Here is a 24,978-nt window from a genome sequence, read left to right as displayed (position 1 = left end):
ATTAATATATAAGGAAGAGGAACAGTTTAAAACTATAACAAAATACTGAAAGCTAAGAAGCTTTTGATGTCTATATTCACATCACAAACCTGTTTCTCATAGTATGACTTTTAGGGGATGTTACTCAAATTGAAAACCCTGAATGCAAATCTTCCTCTTTAAGATAGTTTTGTGACCAAGCACTGTGGCTCATGCCTGTAATCCCAACACTTTGGGAGGCAGAGGCGGGTGGATCACCCGAGGTCAGGAGTTCGAGACCAGCCTGGCCAACATAGTGAAACCACATCTCTATTAAAAATACAAAAATTAGCTGGGCATGGTGGCACATGCCTGCAGTCCTAGCTACTCAGGAGGCCAAGGCAGGAGAATCGCTTGAACCCAGGAGGTAGAGGTTGCAGTGAGCTGAGATTGTGCCACTGCACTCCAGACTGGGTGACAGAGCGAGACTCCATTTCAAAAAAAAAAAAAGATAGTTTTATGGTTTAAATGGTATGAAGAGTAAGTATTTAACAATGCAGATGATAGAAAACTAGTCCATATTTTTTAACGAAAAAAAACCCCACAAATTTACAGAGGACCAATTAGAACTTCCTAATAATTTTCAAGCAAGTTGGAAGAAGCGATAAATTAGATGTTGTGGACTTAGTTTTAATAACAAAAATCAAGTAAATAAATATAGAATGAGGCCCAATCATTTTTCACCTGAAAAAGACCTGTATGTTTCCATCAATGATAAATTAAGTGTGAGCTCAAAGCACGATGTGGGTGCCACAACACTCCTGTACCACCTGGAGAATGTCTTCAACAAAGGGACCCAATAGTTCTCAATAGTATGTAGTTCCCAGCAATAATCAGATCACATCCGGACATTAACCAACACAAACATGTCCAGTGTAGGGTGACCAGTATGAGGAAAAACAAACAAACAAACAAAAAACCAGAAAGACACAGGGGAAGAAAGCCTGTGCTATTAAGACAAGACTCACAAAATTTCCAGTATCCAGAAAAGCAGAGAAATGTATTGATATTATAGGGAAAAGTCATTTTCAAGACTGGATTTCCTGCCTCCCCAGAGAGAAAAAGGGGTAGAGAAACAGCTTAATAATCTCCAAGTAGGGGCTGTCACTTACCTTTTGATAGCAAGTTGAGGGTACAGTTACCCACAGCCAGGATGGGATTCAGATCTGAATCTGGATGCCTGCTAATGATGTGTCCCCCTAAAGACTTTTAAAAATAATGAGTTATTTTCATTTATGTAATCATAAAAAAGCAAGTGCTAAAATAAGGATTAAGCAAGGCTTTGGAGAACTATTTTTTTTGTCTGTTCCAAAAGAATGAAAATGTCATGATTCATCAGGGAGAGTCACCCAAGGGATGCATACCAGAGTTTACTGTCATCAGATACATACAGCCATGTTCCTGATCTGGGACCCAGCCAGAGTTCCCAAATGCTTCAGGAGAGCATGGTACATCTGTGTCTTCTCCTCTGGAAGCTTCTGGACTACATCAGCCAAAATGTCCTTCACCTGGGCTAGGCTGAGACCAGCACCAAGGGTGAGTCCTGAAATGAAGTCATTTGTAAATAACACAGTGCGATCACTGCTGATCTGAAAATGTCCATTAGACCAAAGCTACAGACATAGAATCTTTATACTGGATACATGCTGCCCTGCTTATTGGTGATGGTGGTGATGGGCAGTGATGGTGGTGATGGTGATGAAGGTAATGGTAGTAATGAAAGTGGTGGTGAGGCGATGGTGGTAGGGATAGCAGTTGAGGGGGTGGTGTGGTGGTGGTGATGAAGGTGGGGTAATGATAGAGGTGGTGGTAGTGATGTAAGTGGTGTTGATGGAGGTAATGAAGGCTGAATTCTTTGAACACTCACTCTATTGAGTATTATGTTGAATGCTTTAGATAATCTCCTTAAATCTGAACATACCTATGAGATATTAATAGCCCCATTTCACAGATGAAGAAACTGAGAGTTGAGTAACTTGCCTAAGATCTGACAGCTAATATATGCCATTGTCAAGAGTTAGATTTCAGAGGCTGTACTGCAAACCCACATTTCTATTGCTTCTTATCATTGCCATTATATCAATTTCCTCTACAGGAGTAGAAAAACCAGTCTGTAAGCTGTTGAATACATAAACTCGCTACTGTGGTTTTAAAGAGCAAAGACTGTGTTATATTCATCTTTATCTTCTGTCCAGCACTTAGCACCGTATCCTTCATTGAATAGTTGTTACATTTCTCTGATATTGCAGACAGAAGAAGTTCTTCAGTAAAAACTGAACTATTCAGACAATTAGTATTTAGATTAACTTTAGAGAATTCTTCCCTCAGTCTTCCTCCAGAATGTTATCATTCTTTTTTTTTATGCTTTCTGTCCCCATTTTCTTTTTCTTTTATTTTACTTTAAGTTCTAGGATACATGTACAGAATGTGCAGGTTTGTTACATAGGTATACATGTGCTATGGTGGTTTGCTGCACCTATCAACCTGTCATCTAGGTTTTAAGCCTTGCATGCATTAGGTATTTGTCCTAATGCTCTCCCTTCCCTTGCTCCCCACCCGCCAACAGGCCCCGGTATGTGTTGTTCCCCTTCCTGTGTCCATGTGTTCTCATTGTTCAACTCCCACTTATGAGTAAGAGCATGTGGTGTTTGGTTTTCTGTTCCTGTGTTAGTTTGCTGAGAATGATGGCTTCCAGCTTCATCCATGTCCCTGCAAAGGACATGATCTCATTCTTTTTTATGGCTGCATAGTATTCCATGGTGTGTATCTGTCACAGTTTCTTTATCCAGTCTATCATTGATGTGCATTTGGGTTGGTTCCAAGTCTTTGCTATTGTAAATAGTGCTGCAATATACCTAAGTGTGCATGTGTCTTTATAGTGGAATGATTTATAATCCTTTGGGTATATACTCAGTAATGGGATTACTGGGTCAAATGGTATTTCTGGTTCTAGATCCCTGAGGAATCACCACACTGTCTTCCACAACGGTTGAATTAATTTACACCCCTACCAACAGTGTAAAAGCATTACTATTTCTCCACAGCCTTGCCAGCATTTATTGTTTCCTGACTTTTTAATAATCACCATTCTGACTGGCATGAGATGGTATCTCAGTGTGGTTTTGATTTGCATTTCCCTAATGATCAGTGATGATGAGCAGCACATCGAAAAGCTTATCCACCACGATCAAGTTGGCTTCATCCCAGGGATGCAAGGCTGGTTCAATATATGCAAATCAATAAATGTAATCCCTCACATAAACAGAACCAGTGACGAAAACCACATGATTATCTCTATAGATGCAGAAAAGGCCTTTGATAAAATTCAACATCTCCTCATGTTAAAAACTTTCAATAAACTAGGTATTGATGGATCATATCTCAAAATAATAAGAGCTATTTGTGACAAACCTATAGCCAATATCATACTGAATGGGCAAAAGCTGGAAGGATTCCCTTTGAAAACTGGCACAAGATAAGGATGCCCTCTCTCACCACTACTATTCAACGTAGTATTGGAAGTTATGCCCAGTGCAATCAGGCAAGAGAAAGAAATACAGGTATTCAAATAGGAAGACAGGGAGTCAAATTGCCTCTGTTTGCAGATGACATGATTGTGTACTTAGAAAACCCCATCGTCTCAGCCCAAAAACTCCTTAAGCTGATATGCAAATTCAGCAAAGTCTCAGGATACAAAATCAATGTGCAAAAATCACAAGCATTCCAATACACCAACAATAGACAAGCAGAGAGCCAAATCATGAATGAACTCCCATTCACAATTGCTACAAAGAGAAGAAAATACCTAGGAATACAATTTACAAGGGATGTTAAGGACCTCTTCAGGAAGAACTACCAACCACTGCTTAAGGAAATAAGAGAGGACACAAACAAATGGAGAAACATTCCATGCTCATGGATAGGAAGAATCAATACCATGAAAATGGCCATACTGCCCAAAGTAATTTACAGATTCAATGCTATCCCCATCAAGCTACCATTGACTTTCTTCACAGAATTAGAAAAACTACTTTAAATTTCATAAGGAACCAAAAAGAGCCTGTATAGCCAAGACAATCCTAAGCAAAAAGAACAAAGCTGGAGGCGTCACACTATCTGACTTCAAACTATACTACAAGACTACAGTAACCAAAACAGCATGGTACTGGCACCAAAACAGATATATAGACCAGTGGAACAGAACAGAGACCTTAGAAATAAAACCACACATCCACAACCATCTGATCTTTGACAAACTTGACAAAAACAAGCAATGGGGAAAGAATTCCCTATTTAATAAATGGTGCTGGGAAAACTGGCTAGCCATATGCAGAAAACGAAATTGGACCCCTTCCTTACACCTTATACAAAAATTAACTCAAGATGGATTGAAGACTTAAATGTAAAACCCAAAACCATAAATACCCTAAAAGAAAACCTAGGCAATACCATTCAGGACATAGGCATGGGCAAAGACTTCATGACTAAAACACTAAAAGCAATTGCAGCAAAAGCCAAAATTGACAAATGGGATCTAATTAAACTAAAGAGTTTATGCCTAGCAAAAGAAATTAGTGTCAGAGTGAACAGGCAACCTACAGAATGCGAGAAAAGTTTTGCAATCTACCCACTGACAAAGGTCTAATATCCAGAATCTGCAAGGAACTTAAATAAATTTATAAGGAAAAAGCAACCCCATCAAAAAATGGGCAAAGGATATGAACAGACACTCCTCAAAAGAAGACATTTATGTGGCCAACAAACATATCATTCTTATAAGAAGAGAATCTCTGTGTGTATTATAATTAGGAATCATTCTTTTTCTGCTTGTCTGCTGGGCAAGGTAAATAAATTGATTAATGCATCTTAACTAAGAAAACAGGGACTTGAGAACTCACCATTATATGCATGGTTTACAACACTCAGTTCTTCAATTCTATCAGGAGAAATTATAACTGGGTGAAAGACGCCTTTAAATTTCACTTCAGGCCCTAAAGGATCAAAAAAAAAAAAAAATCAATAAGACTAGAATAAAGGAACTAACTGCCTTTTAAATTTGAAATTATTATTAAACTAATATCTTTAAATATCTAAAAATATTGTATCTTTCTATTCATCTGTTTATTGCCAAATCACATACAGAGAGAATGGCTGGATAGATTTTCATCAAACTTGGAAGACTCTGGAATTGTCAACCTTGAAACTTGGGCCATATGGCATGTTCAAAATTCTCTCTGGGAAGACTCTAGGGGCTGCTCCTCAAGCTGAGCACACACTGGATGCAACAGGAAGACCCTGTAGCGGTTGTTTAAGTAAAACATATACCTATTGAGACACCCTGAGAGAGGAAACAAAGAGCAATTTGAAATTTGAGGCCCAGATTAGTCCCCAAAAGGAAAGACAGGACAGCTGTCACTGAAGCTCCTGCTGCTGGTTTGCTATGGAGCAAGCCCCTTCGGTACAACTCTTGACACTGCTCCAATAAGAGGCAAGAGGAATCTACTTAATAACAGTTAGAAAGTCTCTTGAGCAATGCTCAGGAAGTCTAGCTCAAATGATTAAAAATGCTATTTCAGACTGCTTTTCCTGAGAACACATGTATATGAAGTTTCCCCAGCCCACCCCGGCCCCATCCCAAGCCCTTTTTCTCAATTTCCCTATAAAAAATCCCTGGGGTTCTACATACCCACAGAGGTGTTTCCCATGATAACAGGAGCCTGGGGATACTTGAATTTAAATTCCAGCAGTTCCTTCAGGGTCACGGGGGAAAACCACATCATTCTCTCACTGCCAAACACCCTGGTCCTTTGCGACTGTTTCTCAGCCATTATCTATTGAAAAAGCAATAGGGATTCAAGGTACCCAATGATGCCATCTCCACCTGTTTCCACTCAATCATTAGCACTGTAGATACAGAATGAGAAAATACATATCTTCTAAAAAATAAAGTACAAAGTGACCTAAAAGTAGAGCTTTACAAGGAATTAGAATTCAGAATAAAAGCACGATGGTTCTTTACTCCTGGGAACTGCTTGGTCTGTCTCCCTTTGGTGCTCTTGTCTCAAAGAACATCATTTTAATGTTAGCAAATATAGTAACATGCTGAATCTTGTTAAATCATTCTATGGAGGAATAAACTTCAGCAAAAGTGAAAGTAGGAAACATGTCTATACCTACAAACACTGTGATTTCACGATTTTATAGAAGCTATCTGCTGCTTCTTACAGTCAACTCAGCTGTCCCCCATGGGGACCCCACCCCCATTCCTCCTCCTCTTCCTTAGTCCATACTCTTTAGACCTTGAGCTAAGGATGACAGAGAGGCCTCACCTATTTGCCAATCAGCTTTTGAGAGAACCCATAAACAAATACCCTTCCTGATATTTCACCATGAATTCTTCTAGGATGAGCTCAACATTGCTTTACTCACCATTAGCTCAGGAGGAAATATCAGTTCCTGGGTTGGATCCAATGGCAGAAACTCCTCTTCTGCGAAGAGTTTTGGACTTGTCTAAAAAGAGAACATATCAGAAATTACTGTTATCGAGCAACTTTAAAATCCTTTGTGGAATAAGGTCAAAAGATATAGATACACAGTCAGATACAGCAAACCGACAAAAAAGTCCACTGGCCAGCCACAATCCCCGCGCTCCAAACCAAGGGCTCTAACACAAACCTTGTCATCAGCAACTCAGTGCTGATGCCAATGGGCCTCTGGAGGCCTCAACTCCCTGTACCTTCTCTTTGGAGTCTGGGGACAGTAGAAGAGGAGGCAGCAGCCGCAGACACAGCTGGAACAAGAACGGCTCCCTGAACCTCTCCTGTCTCTACTTGTTCTACCTGTTCTTTTATTTTCATGACATCTCCACTTTACTTCTGGCCCTTGAAAAATAACTTGAAAAAATGCTTTTAAAAGCTAAGAGACACTAAGGAACCAATGTGTTTTCCCTCCTGTAGATAACTGTATTTAAATGGGAATAATATCTGGAATGAGGACAAAGTTGCTGCGATATAATTTTTTTTTATAGAGAGATGGAGTGAGAATGGGAGAGGGCACATGTTGACATACCTCAAGTTAGTCAACTTGGGTAGCCATTTGTTCTTCCTAAGAGTATGTTGGCTCCTGTTCATGTCCTGAGAAAGCCTTATAAAAGCTTTACATTTCACTGACCTTACTTCCTTCCTCAAATTCTGGCAATCCATTGATTCCTTGATCCAAACAGCAAACCCCATTTTCTTTACTTTGACAGCAGCCCGAAGTCTAGTGGACAAAAAACAAATCACTAGGAATTTATTGCTGATTCTACTAACTAGTAAATAAAGCAGGTGAATGCCAGTTGAAACATAATGCTGAATCAATATCGTTAGATGCCATGAAAGAGAGCCATTTGTACTTAAACATATCCAAACCAACATTAATGAAAAACCTGAGCTTACAGAAAATTTTGAATAGCAGTGATTACTAAATAAGTTAAAAGACATAAAGATCTTATAACTAAGCGTGGCACATAGCATTAAATAGTAAATATTAATAATGATTAACTGTTAATATTGTTAGTATTTTAAATATTAATAATAAATATTAACAGGTATTGTTATTGTCATCACTGTTCTTATCTATGATATACTGAATTCATTGTTTAACTTCCAGAGGGCAATCTTATATCCTTCATTTCAACTTTGTTTGTTCATTTATTCATTCAACAAATATTGAGTAGCTACTCAATGACTATATGGTGACTGGACCCGGAGATATACAGCCTCTACTGTGAAGCAGCCCACAGTCTGGTGAAGACATGGGATAGCAAATGATCAGTTGCACCACATTGTGACCAAAGCTGTGACGGGACATGTGTATGCCCGTCACATGTTCGCAGAGGGCTATAGGAACACCAGGCCAGGGTACCTGACCCAGGCAAAGAGGTCAGGAAAGACCTCTTGGAAGCAATGACACACAGCCAGTGTCAAAATGCTCAGGTGTTCATTATGCGACCACCAAGGCAAGCTCAATGAATGAGGTTAAGTGCCCTGCTCAAGATCAAATAACAAACAGCAGCTAGAAACCTGGAGATAAGAAGTAGCCATGTATTAGTAAGATGGCTGCCCCCCTAATCACTGACAACCATTACCATTTCGTTTCACTGGGGAAAACATACTCAAACATGTGGTCCTTTCCACTTACTTTACAGAAAGTCTTGCATGCATCAATTATGGGCCTGTATCCAGTGCAACGGCACAGGTTACCTGAAGGAGAAAAACCCAGCTCTGTTAGCCAAGTGACCCAGATAGAGGCACAGTCTACCAAGAGTGTGATGGAAATGAGGACCCTATCATAGAGGAAAGATCTGTTTGACATTTTAGTCCACCTAATCTACAAAGTCAGATCTTTTCAACAGCAACTTGGGATATTTCATTAAGAATCTTGAGGCAGATTTTAAAAGCTCAGGTATTTGTACTTTCTCCTGTAAAGTTATGCCTTCTGCTTGTGACAGGTGCTCAAACAACACAATAATTTCAAACCAAAAACTTGCTCTACAGTCACATTCAAGAGCTAAGCCTTATTTTAAAAACAACTTATTTTTACTTTTATTTTTGAGACAGGGTTTCATTCTGTCGCCCAGGCTGCAGGTGCGGTGGTGCAGTCTCAGCTCATTGCAACTTCCACCTTCCGGGTTCAAGCAATTCTCCTGCCTCAGCCCCCCGAGTAGCTGGGACTACAGGTGTGCACCACCAGGTCAGGCTAATTTTTGTATTTTTAGTACAGATGGGATTTCACCATGTTGGCCAGTCTGGTCTCAAAATTCCTGACCTCAGGTGATCCACCCACCTAGGCCTCCCTAAATGTTGGGATTACAGGCGTGAGCCACTGTGTTCAGCCAAACTAATTTTTTTTTTAAAAAGTAAAATCCATTTTACTGAGCTGTTATTGACATGCAAAAAGCTGTACAACTTGGTGAATTTGGAGATAAGTCTTACACCCATGAAACCATCACCACGGTCAATGTTATAAACATATCTATTACCTCTAACTTCCCTCCCATCATTTATTTATTTATTCATTTATTTTGTGATTACTATAACATCTGCCCTTTCAGCAAATGTTTGAGTATACAATACAGTGTTAACTATAAGCATTATGCTATACAGTATCTCTAGGACTTACTCCTTTTGCATAACTGAAACTTTTTACCTTTGACGAATACATCTTTGTTTTCCCGTTCCCCAGGCCCTGGTAATCACCATTCTATTCTCTACTTCTGTGAGTTTGACTACTTTAGATTCCTCATATAAGTGGGCTCATGTAGTATTTGTTCTTCTGTGCCTGGCTTATTTTACTCAGCATAATGTCCTCCAGGTTCATTTACGTTGTTGCAAATAGCAAGCTATACTTCTTTTTCTAAGGAAAAAACCCCTCATTCTTAACACTTACTGTGACAAAAAAAAAAAAAAAAAAGCACTCTAAGCTTCAGCTGACAGAAAGATCAAAGTTATTATACAGCAGCAAAGGTAGTTATTAAACTGTGAAAGCAGTAGGGCACATTATTTATTTATAATAAATCATCAGGCCAGCGTTTCTCCCACAGTGCGATCCGGTGTTCCTCCTCCACCCCTAAATCTGAAGTCTTATTTAAAAAACAATATTACTGAGTCAAACTCTCTAGGGGTGGGTCCCAGGAATCTTCATTACCCACAAATTCCCATGTATGACCTAAGTACCCTGAAATCTGAGAACCCCTTATCACTTGTTTACATCATAAACAGCCATGAAATCAAATTCATGATAAGATCTGAAGGAAATCAGGCAGAAGACAGTTTATGAGCGATGTCTCTCCTTTCTACATCCATTTGTTCTGGTTTTCCTTGGAACATTTTTGCAGAGTAAGTGTACATATGAGCTTTAGGCTCATGTTCTCTAGCAGAGAAATGAGGTCTTCGGGAGGCCTGAGACAAAGACAAACGGAGCCATGGAGAAGTTCACCAGAAACAGAACTTGAGAGGGTATCACTTAAAAAAACGTGTTTAGAATCTTGTTGATGAGGATGTCCCCCCCCGCCACATACACACTGAGCTCCTGAACTTGACAAAAACGCTCTAGGGTGGATAGACAGTTCTTTGCAATAAGTATCAAGTTTCACCATAAGATCTCAGTCTCTGACTTTATGCTGTAACCATCGCAGCCCTCTGATGTTGAATATGGTCCTGAAAGCACCCACCACCCAGTAGGGAGAGTGGTGAGGGAGCAGCATGTGGAGATAACAGGACTCTTCCCAAGGGCTGATGAATAACTGGCTTTTTAATGATTATAAAAACAAAAGAGACTTCAGAAATACATCAGCCAAATGCAATGTGTGGGTTGGTTTGAATCCTGATTTGAACAAACCAATTCTTCCACTTATTGGGGGTGTAACTTTGAACAAATCACTCTCCCCAAACCTCAGTTTCTCCATTTATGAAATGGGGATAACAATAGTACCTATCTTATAAATTTTTTGTGAGGATCAAATGAGATAATCTTCAAATAGTATTTAATACTATTAAATGTGTGTGGCACATGAAAGGTATCCAATATTAGCTGTTATCATTATCATCATCATCGTTTAAAAGTAAAAGCATGAGGGGAGGCTGAGGCACAAGAATTGCTTGAACCTGGGAGGCGGAGGTTACAGTGGGGCCAAGATTGCGCCGCCGCCCTCCAGCCCGGGCAACAGAGTGAGATTCCGTCTCAAAAAATAAATAAATAAATAAAAATTAAAAAATAAAAGCATGCATATATAACCTACCACCAAGGGCATCAGTTAACTGATCCAGAGTGGGCTCTGGGTGGTTCCTGAGCAGCGTGTAGATGGACATCACCATCCCAGGTGTGCAGAAGCCACACTGGGTGCCATGACACTTGGCAATCCTCTCCTGGAAGCACAGAAAGGTTAGAAATGCAGAATTTGGGGCCCCATCCCAGGCCTAATGAATTAGAGCCTGCATTCTAGCAAGATCCCCAGGTGATTTGTCTGCATGTTAAGATTGCAGCAGAGGCCCCTGGGAGCCCTTCTCATCCCAGGCACCTCCCTCCCCAGGGCTGGGTTGTTGTGAGGTTGGGCCTTATCTGCTTTTGAGCTTCACTTAAGGCAGTGGTTACCACTCTTGAGAATCACCCGGACAGTGTTAAGATTTCAAGCCCCACACAGCACCACAAACCAACTGACAGAGTCTCTGGGAATGGGGCACGGGCATACATCTTTTAAAGATTCCCACATGGTTGGTTTCAACGTGCAGTTGTGGTTGTGAATTACTGAGATAAAAGAAATCCTTCAGAGAAATAAACCAAATTACACTCAAGTTGAGAAGTGGAAAAAAAATAAATAAAAAATAAAATGCTTTTATTTCTTTTATACGTTTCCCTCCCCCTAGCATTTTTGCTTTGGAGTCTAACTTCTAAGGTTCAAGTCGATTTTGGAAGCTGTCTTCTGGCAACATTGTAACAATGGGAGTTCCGCATCAATGAAGAAATGAAAGGGTATTGTATGCCTGTGTATGACCAGGTCTCACATGGGCATCCAGGCAGAATTCTCTCCCTCTAGTTAATGATATGTCATAATGATCCAGGCAAAATTCTCTCCCTCTGGGTAATGATCTTTCAAATAAACAGAATCCAAGATTCCTTCAAATCTAGAAAATTTGAACTTGGGTCATTTTCTATGTTGCTCCTATCTTTTCCTTCTATCTTTTCTCATATTTGATCTTCATTAACTTCAATAAAAATGAGGAAAAGTGGCTTTTTTTTTTTTTGAGACAGAGTCTTGCTCTGTTGCCAGGCTGGAGTGCAGTGGCATGATCTTGGCTCACTGCAACCTCCACCTCCCAGGTTCAAGTGATTATTCCTGCTTCAGCCTCCCGAGTAGCTTGGGACTACAGGTATGCACCACCATGCCCAGCTAATTTTTGTAGTTTTAGTAGAGACAGGGTTTCACTACATTGGCCAGGATGGTCTTGATCTCTTGAGCTCGTGATCTGCCCACCTCTGCCTCCCAAAGTGCTGGGATTATAGGTATGAGCTACCACGCCTGGCCTAGAAATGGCATTCTTATGGGCAATATATACATAAAGACTCAGGTGTCTGAAGATGCCTTTTTACTTGAGTCTAAAACTCTAACAAGGTGCTTCTTTAGGAGAAAAGCCAAAAAACTTATTGACAACTCCTATCATCTGTCTTCCAAACAAGCTCTAAATATAACAAAGCTTTTTGGTAGCTGAAATTTTCACTCAGCCTTAAGATCATGTTGTTTTCCACTTTATAAAAAAAAATAAAATTATATCCCTCAATGCACATGGCTCTTCTTTCTCTTTCTTCCTTCATCTTTTCTTTCCTTCCTTCCTTCCCTCCCTTCCTCCCTCCTCTCTCCCTCTTTTTCTCCTTCTCTTTCTTACAACAGGGTCTCACTCAGTCACCCAGGCTGAAGTACAGGGTGCAATCATGGTTTACTGCAGCCTCAACCTCCCAGGCTCAAGTGATTCTCTCACCTCAGCACCCCCGAGTAGCCAGGACTATAGGTGCTCACCACCACACCCCACTAATTTTTGTACTTTTGTAGAGACATGTTTCACCATGTTGCCTAAGCTGGTCTCAAACTCCTGGGCTCAAGCAATCCACCTGCCTTGGCCTCCCAAAGTGTTGGGATTACAGGTGTTAGCCACTGCACCTGGCTCTTGTTTCTTTATGAGTTTGGAAGATGTCAAATAGATAGGTCCCATCGAATTAGAACACAAAAAACAAACCCACAAATGTCAGGGCATTCTTAGAGAAGAAAAGGTTTTCTAGCCTTCCAAAAGCATTTTTCCAACAAGTTAGTCAGAAACACTCACATATCCCAATATGCCAGGCTTCACTCTTGTTCCCAGCTAGGTTGTATCTGTTGGAGTGGCCGAGCCAGCAGGCCCCAGGCTGCTCCGCTCTCTTAATCTCAGGGACTCAATGTCATGAGGTTTCTAAAGCACAGAAAGCCTATAAGGAAGAGGCACATCCTCACCTGAACAGGATGAATTCTGGTGTGGGTGCTTCCTATGCCTTCTACTGTGGTGACGGCAGCACCATACAGAGAACAGATGGGAATCAGACAGGCATTGGCTGGGTGATGCCTTCAGAATGCAAAAGAAAAGCACAAATTACAAATTATGTCGCATACAGTGGGAAAGGGGCCAGGCATTCACTGAGCTTCTCCACTGTGGCAGGTTTTTGTATAATGTACCCAGGTTTTACACATACATTTCCTCCTTAGCTCAGGCACAGGCCCATTTTAGAGAAGTGGAATCTGAGGATCAGAGTGATTTACTCAGGGTCACAGCCAGAGTGTCAGAGGCAGGATTAAAATTACGCCTCCTAATTCTAATTCCAGAATGGTGTCCACTTATCAAAAACTGTCACAACTTTGATGGTTTTTGCTCTTGAATGAGGGGTTGACATTCTCTAGTCACAGGTAACCATGCACCTATGGCAGGCCAGGTCTCCATTAGCAACCAGAGCAGCCAGACTTCACCAACACCTCACTGTCACGCTGATGGATGCATAAGTTAAACATTAAAGAACTGGAGAAACTGGTGCCTTAGTACAAAGACCAGAAGGTAAAAACAAGCCATTAAGAGTTGTAAGAGACTGCCACTCCCATTCTAAAAACCAAAGTAAACCATACGAGGAACATAATCACATTTTCAAAGCTCATCAGATGCTGAGTACACAAAGAAACTTTATGAGCAAAACTTAATAAATAAATAAACTAAACTCCGATGTGACAACCCCTTCATAAGAGAGAAGATACAGTTGCTCTCATCCCTGAGATACAATTATTCTCTTCCTGAAATTGAAGGAGGAAAAGGAACCTGCCTTAAACAGGAATAAGGAGAAACCAGACCAACTTCCAACAAATTTTGAATGGTTGCATGTGGGCTGATAACAACAGATTCAAATACAAAGCTGGGATGCATTATCTTCAATCTCTTCCCCACCAGAGATCACTGAGTGCCGGGGGTAGTTCCCCAAAATAGGCAGGGAAGGAGAGCTAAAAGAAACTTTCCAAGCATACTGGTCCTTAAACAAAGAAGGCTGGGGGAGAGACAGGAGAACTGAGAGAAACCCTAGGTACTCAGACTTCACAGAGCATAGGGTAGTCGCCACTCCCTAGAGGCTAAAGACAGAGCAACATGGCTGCGACAGATCTCCCAAAGCATGGAAGGTGAGAGAGGTAAGCAAAGAGAAATCCCTCATGAACTAAAAAGCTGACAGCCAGGCCGTAAAGCAGGGAGGAACCTCTCAGAGTTCAGACAGCAGGTAGTTTGGTGTGGAACACAGGCAGATATCTGAAACCTCACCAGTGCTCAGATCCTTAGCCTTCAAGTGCGATCTGTGAAATGATGTAAAATCGTCTAACATTAGCATAATTGGATTCCCAGAAGAACAGAGGGAAGAGTGTGTGGCACAGAGTAAATATTTGAAGAGATAATGCCTTGAGAAGTTTCCAGAAGACATCAACACACAGATCCAAGAAACTTGGCAAATGTGAGGAAGGATAAATACCAAACATAAACAGATGTTAAACATAATGGGAAGCCATTGGGGGCTTATAAGTACGGGAATGACTTGATCTGATGATAATTAAAGCAGGTCACTCTGGCTGATGTATGGAGAATGCACCAGATGGGAGGAAGGAGATAAGTTAGGGGCTGGAAGAGTAATATATGAATGTGATGATGGCATTATCCTCCACTGCAATTTCAGCCTTGCCTTTCCTCCCCAGACAGGGAGTTAGGGAGCCATTCAAGTTTTGACAGGGGATTTTTTTTTTTCTTAGAGACAAGGTCTTGCTGTGTTGCCCAGGCTGGACTCAAACTCAAGCAATCCTCCTGACAGCCTCCCAAGTAGCTAGAAATGTGTGCCACTGTACCTGGCTTTGATGGGGAATTCTTTGACCGTATGTTATCCTCATTGATGCTACATTTTTTTCCCAAAACATTCATATTCCTAGGACCATGTCTGTCTTGTTCATCATTGTACGCCAAGTGGCCAGTTCTTTTCACATGGTAGGTACTCAATATATATTTACCAAATGAAGGAATATAACAAAGTTCAAAATTATAAAAATTCAACCATATCTGGACTTTGCTGCACGGTACCTTATCCTCTTGGTGATGGGGTTGTATCGTGATATCATCACTGTACAAGCACCACAGCCTCCTCCTCCACAGCCATACTTAGTTCCTGTGAGTCGAACTGGAAGAGGTATAGTTAAAGATCATATGTGTTATGTAATTCTCTTTCTAGAATAGCCCTGCCACTAGGAGACAGTAATATCACAGACTCTTAAATGTTAGTTAAGTTCAATACATATTCATCAAATAATGTGTTTATGTCTTAATTACTATTATAGAAGCTATAATAATCTTGTAAATTCTTGATTTCCTTTTGTGTGTTATATCTTGCATTCTCCCTTTGAAAACAACTGGACGTCAGGTTGCCAAAAATAGGGCTGAACTGAAAAAAGAAGAGTCTATATGTGTAAGCACTTGAGTATTTGAAGGTATGAACACATTGCACATTTATTCTCATCCTTATCTCTGTCTTTGATGACACAAAGCAAAATATTAAATTGTAGATAATGCTTGGAATATTTGTGTCATCTTAGCCATGTTTGTGTATTTCTCTGCCTTTCAGTCGCAAAAGCTGCCATCTGTTCCCTAATATCTGTTCTCTCATAATTCCTTAGAAATAGAAACACTGATTTTTAGCCACACACATGGCTTCCCAGAGTAAAAAATAGACTTTCCCAGACTCCTCTGCAGCTAGGTGGGGTCATTAACAATGCTGGCTACTAGGATGTAATTATAAGTGTTGTGTATGACTTCCAGGAGAAGAGTGTCCTTAAAAGGAGAGGGGTGCTTCTTTCTTTGCTCATTACTTCTTCCTATTTGCTGGAATTCAGATATGAGGGCTGGGCCTCCATTAGTCATCTCTGATGGTGGGGAGAAAGCTGTGTGCTGAGGAAGGTGCTGCTTGGTTCCTCAACAACATTGTGACACTGCTTTACCAGCTCTGATCCACCTACCTGTGGGCTTCCTTTATGTGAGTGTGATAGCCATGCAAACATGCCTCACAGACCTCCCTTCAACACAGAGGGTAACTGACCAAGGGACCCTGTTGCTGTACTTTAATACTGATCACTCCAGTTTTCATTAAGACCATGCTTCCCATGGACTGCTCTCCACCAATGGCTTAGTGCTATGGAGAGACATGGAGTCCTTGTCAACCATCCCCAGTGGTTCTGAAGAACATGCCTTAGACTGACCAGCAGTCTAGGGCCCTTCCACTCAACCTTATCTCCAGGGTCAGACTTACACGGTGATCAAATGGCTCCCTAAGTCTCCTCTGATTCACTCCCTACTTCCTTTCCCACAGGCATTTCTCCTAATAAAATCCTGGCACATTTAATCTCATTTTTGGTGTCCACATCCTGAAGAACCTGAACTAACACAATGAGAAAGAAAGAAACTCCTACCTTCTATCTTGTTTACCATGAGGTGGAGTTTTCTGTCACTCATAGTGAACCAAACTTTAAATATTATACATAGGTACTGTGGATAATCAGGGAGTCATGTTCATTGTTTTTTTATGTCTAAAGATCTTGAATGACTTTCATGAGCATGTTTCAGAAACATATTCATGTGTCTGAAAAATAATTATTGATGCTTTGGAGTTATGTACTCTTTTGGTAATTTTACTCTCTCCAGGGGGAAAAATGTACACACCCTCTTTGAAACATAATTTTGCATATAATTCAGTAGTGTCTTTCACCGTCGGGTAGCCCACTGGAGTTCATGCATAGCAAGCTAAAAATACATTCCTTTGATGGCATTTATTTGGCAAGTTTTTCTAGGATAACATTTTCAGGTTTAGTTCTTCCGTTTTCCTTTTACTTTCATTTCAGGTGACTTCTGTGCTCTCTTTTCCTAATGGGCATAATAATTAGTCCTTAAGGACAGAGTATAAATATTGTGACTCTAATTCTAAAGGATGCTTAGTTAGGTCCTTTTAACGTCTATTAAGTTTCCATTACTAGTTTCCCCATTTTATACAGAGACTAGAAGAAAATTGGTTCTTCTGACGGCCACATTTGTGCACTGCCTATAAAATGATAGGACTTTCTCAAATATGAGCATAAAACCATGATAGTAGGGAATATGTCTCAGTGTCTCTAATGTATATTTGAAATATCATTTAATGAGGATATTGGAGTTATACAAATACACACACACATACACAGTCAAAGTAAAGAAAAGGATACGCTTCTTCCTCAAATAAGGCAACAGCATTGTTTCAGGATCGACATTTTTTTCTATCACCTATACCAAAGGGAAAATAAGAGTTAGTTGAGAGAGCTAATATGAAATTCACATTGGTAGGATCACACTAATTTGAGGGAAATGCATGTTAATTAGCCCTTTTACTCATATTTTCAAGTAGATTTCAGCTTTATGGAACAGCTGTGATATGCAAACCACCACTCTTATGTGTAATCTTGAGCCCCACCACAATTGTGCTCCTGTCCTTGGTCCTGAATTATCGCTGTTCTCTAAGGCAATTGTTGTTTCTGCTAACAGAAACACTACCTCCTGTCCAGTTTTTTCTAGAAAGTTTAAAGCAGGTGAGAGTAAAGACATTAGTAGAACATTCAGACTTGGGGGAGGAGTGGATGAAATAAGAAAGGAAAGGAGGGAGGGGAATTGCTGGAATAGAATAGCCTCTGAGAAATTGATATAGTTAATTTTTAAAAAGACTTGTTTGTTTATCTTGTTCAAATAATTGTGGTTTCCAGTAAAAGATAACCAGCCATGGCCCCAATCAAATAAACAAAGGGGAAGATAAAACATGTATGCTAAGTGATGCAAAACTGTGCAGCAAGGACATACTTAGGCAAGTTCATGGGAGCAGCCTGGCACATAGCAGCAGAACAGCATGCTGTTTTTTCTCAAGGATGACATCAAAATGTCAAGATTGGTTATGTTTTCCAAAGTGATCATGTTTTCTCTTTTTTCACAAAAATTTGACATTTCTTTTGGATTCATAGAACACATAGAAGCATGACTTGCTTTGCCATTTCAGAAGCTGAATTCATCTTTCACCATATTATAGTAATTTTCCCTCCTGGGAAGTAGTAGGTGAGGAGTGGACATATGCTTATTCTAGGGCTGCTGCCTCACCCTCAATTCTAACAGGCTATATTCCAGGCAAGGTGTGGCATATGCCAATTGCCAAGGTCAGATCTGTGCCCTAGAAGAGTCCGCAATATAGAAAGATTGGTGCATGTGTGTCTGTTTGTGTGTGTGTATGTGATAAGAAAAAATATGGGGTGCCTCTCAGGTATCTTCAACTTAATTGGCTCTCAAATGGAACTCTTTATTTTATTTTCCAAACTTACTTACTCCTTCCCTTCTTTTCCTTAACCTTTTAATGGCCTCAGTATCTGCTAGGTCACCTAAGCTAAAAAACCTGAGCTATTTTCAACTTTTTTTTTTCCAATCCACCACAATCAGTGTCACCAAGTTCTTCCACTTGGGCTTCCAATGTTCCTCTAAACTCCTTTCTCTTCTACTGTCACTGCCCATGAGCCCATATCACCTATTGTCTGAATGATTATAAGACCTGCCTGAGAGTTCTCCCTGCCTCCACTCTTGGTACCCGCAATATCGTCCTCTGCACCACGACCAGAGTGACTGCTGTAAAACCCAAGCCTGATCGTCTCATGTATATGCCTAAATTTAACATGGCTCCTGGCTGCCAAACTGCCATTCTGGGAATTCCTGAATCATGGAGATGCTTGTTAAAATGAAACCGCTATGGAATCAGGATTTCTGGTAGAGGGAACCAGAAAATGTGCTTTTTAAATGAGTACACTGAGTGGATCTTAGGTGAATTAATAACCAACTATTTCCGGAATACAAGAAGAAATTCGAACTCAGGCCACACGGATGAACTGGACAGTCCAGGGGGTGCGTTGGACTTTCACCTTCACTGCATTTGCATGCAAGGTTCCCTCTGTCCTGAAAATCCTTCCTCTCTTCTTGGCAGAATTTTGTATGTCATTCACCACCCTGCTCAAGTGTTCTCTATGGAGAGTTCTGCCACCTAAAATACCCTTTTGCATCTCAAAGTAACCATCCTCCTCTTTGTTCCCATGGCTGATGTCTTCACCTCTTCTTTTATGACACTTTTTACACTGTATCATAATTATTTGTGTGTGTACAAGACTATCTCGATCCTGAAAGAAGCCATCTTCTGCTGTTCTTCTTTATGCCAAACACTGAGCTTGGTGGTGGGGAAATATCACAGGATGTAATAAGTGTTAATTAATGAAATGAATGACTGGAACATGCTATGTATGATTTGGTATGAGATACCAAGAAGGAAGGAATTTCTCATAGACTTGGGCATCTGAATAGATGAAAAATAAAGAAAAACACAGAAGTTATTGGTGGCAGAAACTGTAGGTTGTCTATCCTGGCATGCATTCTCCTTTCCTTCCTTCCCGCTACTTGGAATAGGGATGAAATGGCTAGAACCCCAGCAGTTATCTTAGACCATGAGGCAACATGTTAATGGCAGGAGAGAAAAAAGAGAGAAGAAACGTGGGTCTCAGATAACACCATAAAGCTTCTGCCCCAACCTCACAATGTCTGTTCCTAGATATGATGGTAAACAATAGAAGCCCCGTTTTAATGGATAGACAGGGTCTGGGTAGCCTAGTTAGTAAAGAATAGCATTTTAGGCTTGAGGAATATTTCTATATTTGAGGAAAGAATTCATGGAAGAAGGTGGTCATGCTTGTTTGGGTATGTGTTCCAGGAAATGTTTCAAGGGATTGGAATCTGGCTCAAAGTCCCACCAGTTTGAAATGTGTTTTGTTGTTGTTGTTGTTGTTGTTGTTTTGATGTAGTGAGGGTTGTATTTGGAGGAAGTGGGGGCAGAGATCTAGCACGCATCTTGTCCTGGCAGCTCTGGGAATGATACAGGGAGGTTAGGACTCAGAGGGAGGCTAGAAGGCATACAGGGGATGGGTAACAGTTATTCTGGTTGACTCTGGATTTGAGAGATGTTGCCAGTTCTCAGGTCAGGGTCATTGCATGTACTCATCTCAGCATAGTCTTGAATCTGAGGGTGGAATCTGCCCCTCTGTATCACTGCCAGCCCTTTTGGGAGAGTCCAAGTTCATGCTGTACTTGGTTAAGAAATCACTTTTCTCTGTGTACTGCCAGTGACTAGTGCCTGAGGAGGCCCTGCCAGATCCAAGACAGAGTCAGAAAGAGAAAGGAAGAGAGAGATAAGAGGAGAGAGAGTAGAAAATAAGGAAGGGGTAGAGGTGCATGTGAAGGGACAAGGCTGAGAGGTAGAAGAGGAGGAAAGAAAGGGGTGTATGCTGTGAGATGCAGTTAGTAGAGAACAATAATCTACAGCAGCCTCAGAGGAGAGAAAGAAGCCTCAGGGAACAGCCATGGGGACACATCTTCCTGAGCTTTAGGTTGCTTTTAAAATTCATTTTGCTTGTTACTTCTTTCTGCCTAAGGTGCCTCCACCTTCTCCACTTTTCTCTGAATCATTGCAGCCATTCCAGAAGCCCAGAAATTTCCTCTCTCAGCCTTGTAAACCAAGAACCTTAGAGAATGCTAGCCAATAAACTGCTCTTTCCAGATTCCTACACCAGTACCAAAAGTCTATGCTCATTGTGCAAATAATGCAGGATGACTGCTTCTTAGCATCCTTGACACCTCTAAGCAGGTTCTGGCTCTGCTAATGAAACAGATTATTTTATAGTCCAGATAGCAACAATTGTTTCCACATATCAATTTACAATCTGTTTACTGTGTACACCCACCCTGCTAACCTCTCTCTATGCAACTTAATCAGCCCCAATTTCAAGGGAAAAGGTTCTGTTATTAGCTCCATTTTGCAAAAGAGAAAACAGAAGCTCAGCGACATTAAGTACCTTGCCCGAGGCCCCAGACCCGCCAAGTGGCAGAGCAGATAGCACAGGATTCAAACCCATCCCTGACTAGTTCTAAGGCCCATACCTTTGATTTCCACACCTCATTGCCTCATGAAATGACATGCTTCATTTCCTGAGTTGAGGTTGTTATGTGGCATCTATGGCAGAATTTATTCATGGGCTCTTCCTCCCTTAAACTCCATGTTAAATGGGTCATCTGTTCTTCTGGGGGCCTTGGTAGAGTGAATAAGATTTCAGAAATCTCTCTGCAACTAGGTCCCTGGCCAACGTGCGCTGTCCTTGCCTCCAGATGTCGTTACCTTCTGCCTGAGGACAACTTTTGGTGACCTGAGAAAATTTAGCAAAAAGCAGAATAGAAGCCAATCATGTCACCTATTTTCTCCTAAGTGGCTTCACTTCTAAGCTTCTTTTTCAAAGGTGAGTTTTTAATTCCAGAGATTGTGTTTGACTTCAAAAGCCCTCTTCTAGGGTGGATTTTCTCTCACACTCTTCTCAACAATCCCTTACTCTCTGGAACGAAAAAGTTTATGCTAGGCTGGGCACAGTGGCTCAAGCCTGTAATCCCAGCACTTTGGGAGGCCGAGTCAGGGAGATCACCTGGGGTCAGGAGTTTGAGACCAGCTTGGCCAACATAGTGAAACCCCATCTCTACTAAAAATACAAAAATTAGCGTGGTGGTGGGTGCTTGCAGTTTCATAGTCCCAGCTACTCAGGAGGCAACAGAGTGAGACTCGATCTCAAAAAAAAAAAAAAAAAAAAAGCTTATTCTAGTTCTTTCCATGTAAGTAATCAGGCTTGTTTATTAAGTACCGAAGCACACACCTAACAGAATTTAGAAGGGAGGAGAAGGAAAGGGAAAGATTAACACAATTTCTTCTAATGGGTAATTGCAAAAACAGAATCAATATCTCCAGATTATACTTTACAAATAACCACAGGACATTTGGCCCATAGACAAAGTGAGTCCGTAGATAAGAACTAGCTTATCTAATTTTAAAAATCAATAGAGCACAAACTTGTTGGCCATTATGTTAAAAATACCAATATTTGTTTGGAAGTGGGGGAAGGAGAAGCGAGGAGATGTTAGACTCACAATCCCTGTTTCTTCATTTAACCCAAACCCTTACCATCACCTATAAAGCCCTAGTAATCAGGCCACTGCCCATGTTGCCAGGCCCACCAACCTACCTCCTTAAGCACACAGAAATCCTCCTACCTCAGGACCTTTGCACCTGCCATTCCCACTGCCTGGATGCTGTCTCCCCAGATGTTTGCATGGCTTGCTCCTCACTGCATCCCAGTCACTGCTCAAATGCCACCCTTTCAGACAGGCCAAAACATCCATCCCCTCTAAGTATCCTGCATACTCTCTGTCCCCACGCTGTGCTTTATTTTTTATATTAGCACTTCTCACTTCCTGACATTACACATTTCCACGTATTTATATGCTTGCTATCTCCCCAGCACAATGTAAGCTCCATGCACGCAAGGACTTGTTATTTCTGTGCTCTGCTGTATCTCATAAGCCTGGAACACTGACTGGCATACGGTAGGCCCTTAACAAATAAGTGGATTGAATGCTCATGATCACTCTTTATGAAGTAAGTGGTATGATCCCCTTTTAACAGAGAAACTGGGCCTCTGAGAGGTTAGGTTTTCTCAATCAGAATTAGAATTGGAATTGAAGACTTGTTTGTCTAAACAACAAAGCCAGTGTTGTGTTTACTATACCATTCTATTATGCAAAAGAAGAAAAAAATGACATAATGTCAATCATCTCACCCCATTGTCATATTTCACCCTCACAGCAGTCCTGTGAAGGGGTCCTAATGACCCTTACAGATCAGGAAAAACTAGCTCATCTTATCCAATGTAGAACCCAGGCAGCAGGGGCAGACAAAGTTTTTGAGGGGCCTAATGTACAATTTGGGGGATCCTCTTTAAGAAACATAATACAAAACCACAAATGAAATTAGGCTCAGGGTCTTAGAACAGGCCTCACAACTAGGGCCTGGTGCTTCACACTGGTTAGCTTCCAGGGGAGGCAGCTGGTGCCCGTCGGGAAAAGTGTTGTGGCTGCCCTTAGCCAGAAGCAGTGGTCACAGGTGGCTCTGAATGAACCGGCACCAACACGAGCACCAGGGAAATCAGGTGCCACTGCTCTTGCTTGGTTGTTAGCTCTGTTTTTGTTGTTTTTAAGAAATAGGATCTCACTCTTTTGTCCAAGCTGGAGTGCAGTGGTGTGATCACAGCTCACTGTAACCTTGAACTCCTAGACTCAAGCAATCCTCCTTCACCCTCCCCAGTAGCTGGGCTGCAGGCACGCACCACCACACCGGTTTTTTTTTGTTGTTGTTGTTTTGTTTTGTTTGGTTTTTTTTTTGTAGAGACAAGGTTTCGCCATGTTGCCCAGGCTAAACTCGAACTCCTGGGCTCAAGCAATCCTCCTGCCTCGGTCTCCCAAAGTGCAGATTACAGGCGTGAGCCACAGCTCTCAAGGGAGCTCCTTAACCTTCCTGCCTCAGTTTCCTCCTTCAGAGTAATGTCAATGAAACTGGAACATTAAGAGTGAGCAGAGTTGATGCTCACATTAAGGGGGGTGTTTTAAAGGATGCCCAGGGGGCTTTGCTTCTCCCAAACATCGGACACTGCCTGGAACTGTCCCTCGGGTTGCGCAGAGCGAGCCCAGCTTCTGAGGCGACAGAGCCCGCACCCAGCAGTGGAACCCGTGAGGACCTTGGAGCCCCCAGAGCCTGACTTGGGTTCAGCTCTGCCAGGAACTAGCTGTGACTTTGGAAAGTAACGATTTCTTCATCTGAGAAACGATGGGGGTGGTTTGAATGTGTTCGTCTCTACGGTCTTGTCCCGAATCTAAGTTGCTCTCTGCGCTTCCAAACGCACCCCGCGAGCTGAGGCTCAGCCATTTCTGTAGGCTGCTCTCAGTGTACTGGGGACGTTCCCGTTATCGGCTGGGATTGAGGGAACGAAGATCTGGGAGTGCTGACCCCTGATGGGCAAGAATACTTTTTATCTTACTGTTTAGGGAGGGCGTGTGGTTGGAAATCAGCTTGTGAGCCTTGGAAGGAGAGGAAAGGGGAACATAAGGAAGGTGGGGGCCCAAAGATCCAGGACAGTCCCTGAAAACGCAGCCTTTAGCTGCCCCGGAGGCAGGGGTGGGAATGCGAAGGCAAAGCCGCTGTTACGGGAGAAAGCCAGTCCGTGCCTGAGTGCCTTAAACGGCGGGCACGAAAGGATGGGACGAACGGCAGGGGCTCCTCTCTGCCCCGGCCCTGGCCGCAGGTCTGGGGGCAGAGGAAGCCCGCGGGCGCTCACCTTGCGGCCGTTCACGTAGAAGAGCAGCTCGGACGCCCGGTCCATTGTGGTGTCCGCGCTGGTTCGAGGGCCCGGAGCGGGAGGCGGAGGTTCTGGGAAGTAGCGGGCACCTGGGACCCGGCGGCACCGACCCGCCGAGTGGGGCGGGGCTTGCTGGAGCCTAAAGTCCAACCCATCCACCCCGACGGAGAAAGCCTTGATTAAGATCCAACGTTCCTGAGCTCTTTGCCAGGAACTCTTCCCGGGACACCAGCACGTGTGTGGGCGTCACTGGCGCCCTCTATGTGGGCGGAAATCATCCGGCGAAGATGAAGACGACCCCTTCATCTCCTCGCCAGTGGCGCTTAGCGTCTGTGTCACACCCTCTTGCGTCTTAGCAAACATTGTAAGTCCTGGGACATTGCTTTTGATGGTCTTATGTTACTGCATATTTTAGGTGGTGTTCCAGCTGGATTTAAGTCTGGGAACATTAGTAACTCCCCTCCAACCAGGCCTGCTGTAGTCCTGGACTCTTAAGTGTAAACAATCATATTTATTCCAACTCTGCAAGAGCGGATCTTAGGGAAAACAAATAGGTTTACAACTTG

At 42.0% G+C, this 24,978-nt stretch overlaps 1 protein-coding gene across 5 annotated transcripts in view, besides 1 other annotated feature; it reads right to left on the bottom strand.

Annotated features, from left to right (window-relative positions):
• The window catches only part of AOX1 (aldehyde oxidase 1), a 96,228-nt gene extending 71,697 nt beyond the window's left edge, over positions 1–24,531 (bottom strand). For all 5 annotated transcript variants that reach the window (XR_007073113.1, XM_011511062.2, XM_017003946.2 and 2 more), the window contains exons 1-12: positions 24,392–24,531; positions 17,342–17,399; positions 15,177–15,273; positions 13,040–13,148; positions 10,799–10,925; positions 8,200–8,261; positions 7,189–7,278; positions 6,448–6,528; positions 5,705–5,849; positions 4,917–5,009; positions 1,410–1,561; positions 1,131–1,224 (exon numbers count right to left, since the gene is read on the bottom strand). Coding sequence is in view for 4 of the 5 variants with exons in the window: in XM_011511062.2 (XP_011509364.1) it covers positions 1,131–1,224; positions 1,410–1,561; positions 4,917–5,009; positions 5,705–5,849; positions 6,448–6,528; positions 7,189–7,278; positions 8,200–8,261; positions 10,799–10,925; positions 13,040–13,148; positions 15,177–15,273; positions 17,342–17,399; positions 24,392–24,436 (1,153 nt within the window). In the remaining variant the exon portion in view is untranslated. The remainder of the gene's footprint in view (positions 1–1,130; positions 1,225–1,409; positions 1,562–4,916; positions 5,010–5,704; positions 5,850–6,447; positions 6,529–7,188; positions 7,279–8,199; positions 8,262–10,798; positions 10,926–13,039; positions 13,149–15,176; positions 15,274–17,341; positions 17,400–24,391) is intronic.
• Positions 726–1,925: an enhancer, noted in NCBI's record as "P300/CBP strongly-dependent group 1 enhancer chr2:201473343-201474542 (GRCh37/hg19 assembly coordinates)". NCBI's record gives its function as "activates an origin of replication core promoter dependent on BRD2, BRD4, P300/CBP, MED14 and CDK7 cofactors, with strong dependence on P300/CBP, by STARR-seq in HCT116 cells {active_cell/tissue: HCT116}" and the evidence as "EXISTENCE:reporter gene assay evidence [ECO:0000049][PMID:35650434]".
• Positions 24,532–24,978: the final 447 nt, after the last annotated feature.

The sequence above is a fragment of the Homo sapiens genome, chromosome 2, assembly GCF_000001405.40.
Source record: "Homo sapiens chromosome 2, GRCh38.p14 Primary Assembly".
Classification (NCBI taxonomy): Eukaryota; Metazoa; Chordata; class Mammalia; order Primates; family Hominidae; genus Homo; species Homo sapiens.
This window is presented reverse-complemented; position numbering and strand designations above follow the sequence as displayed.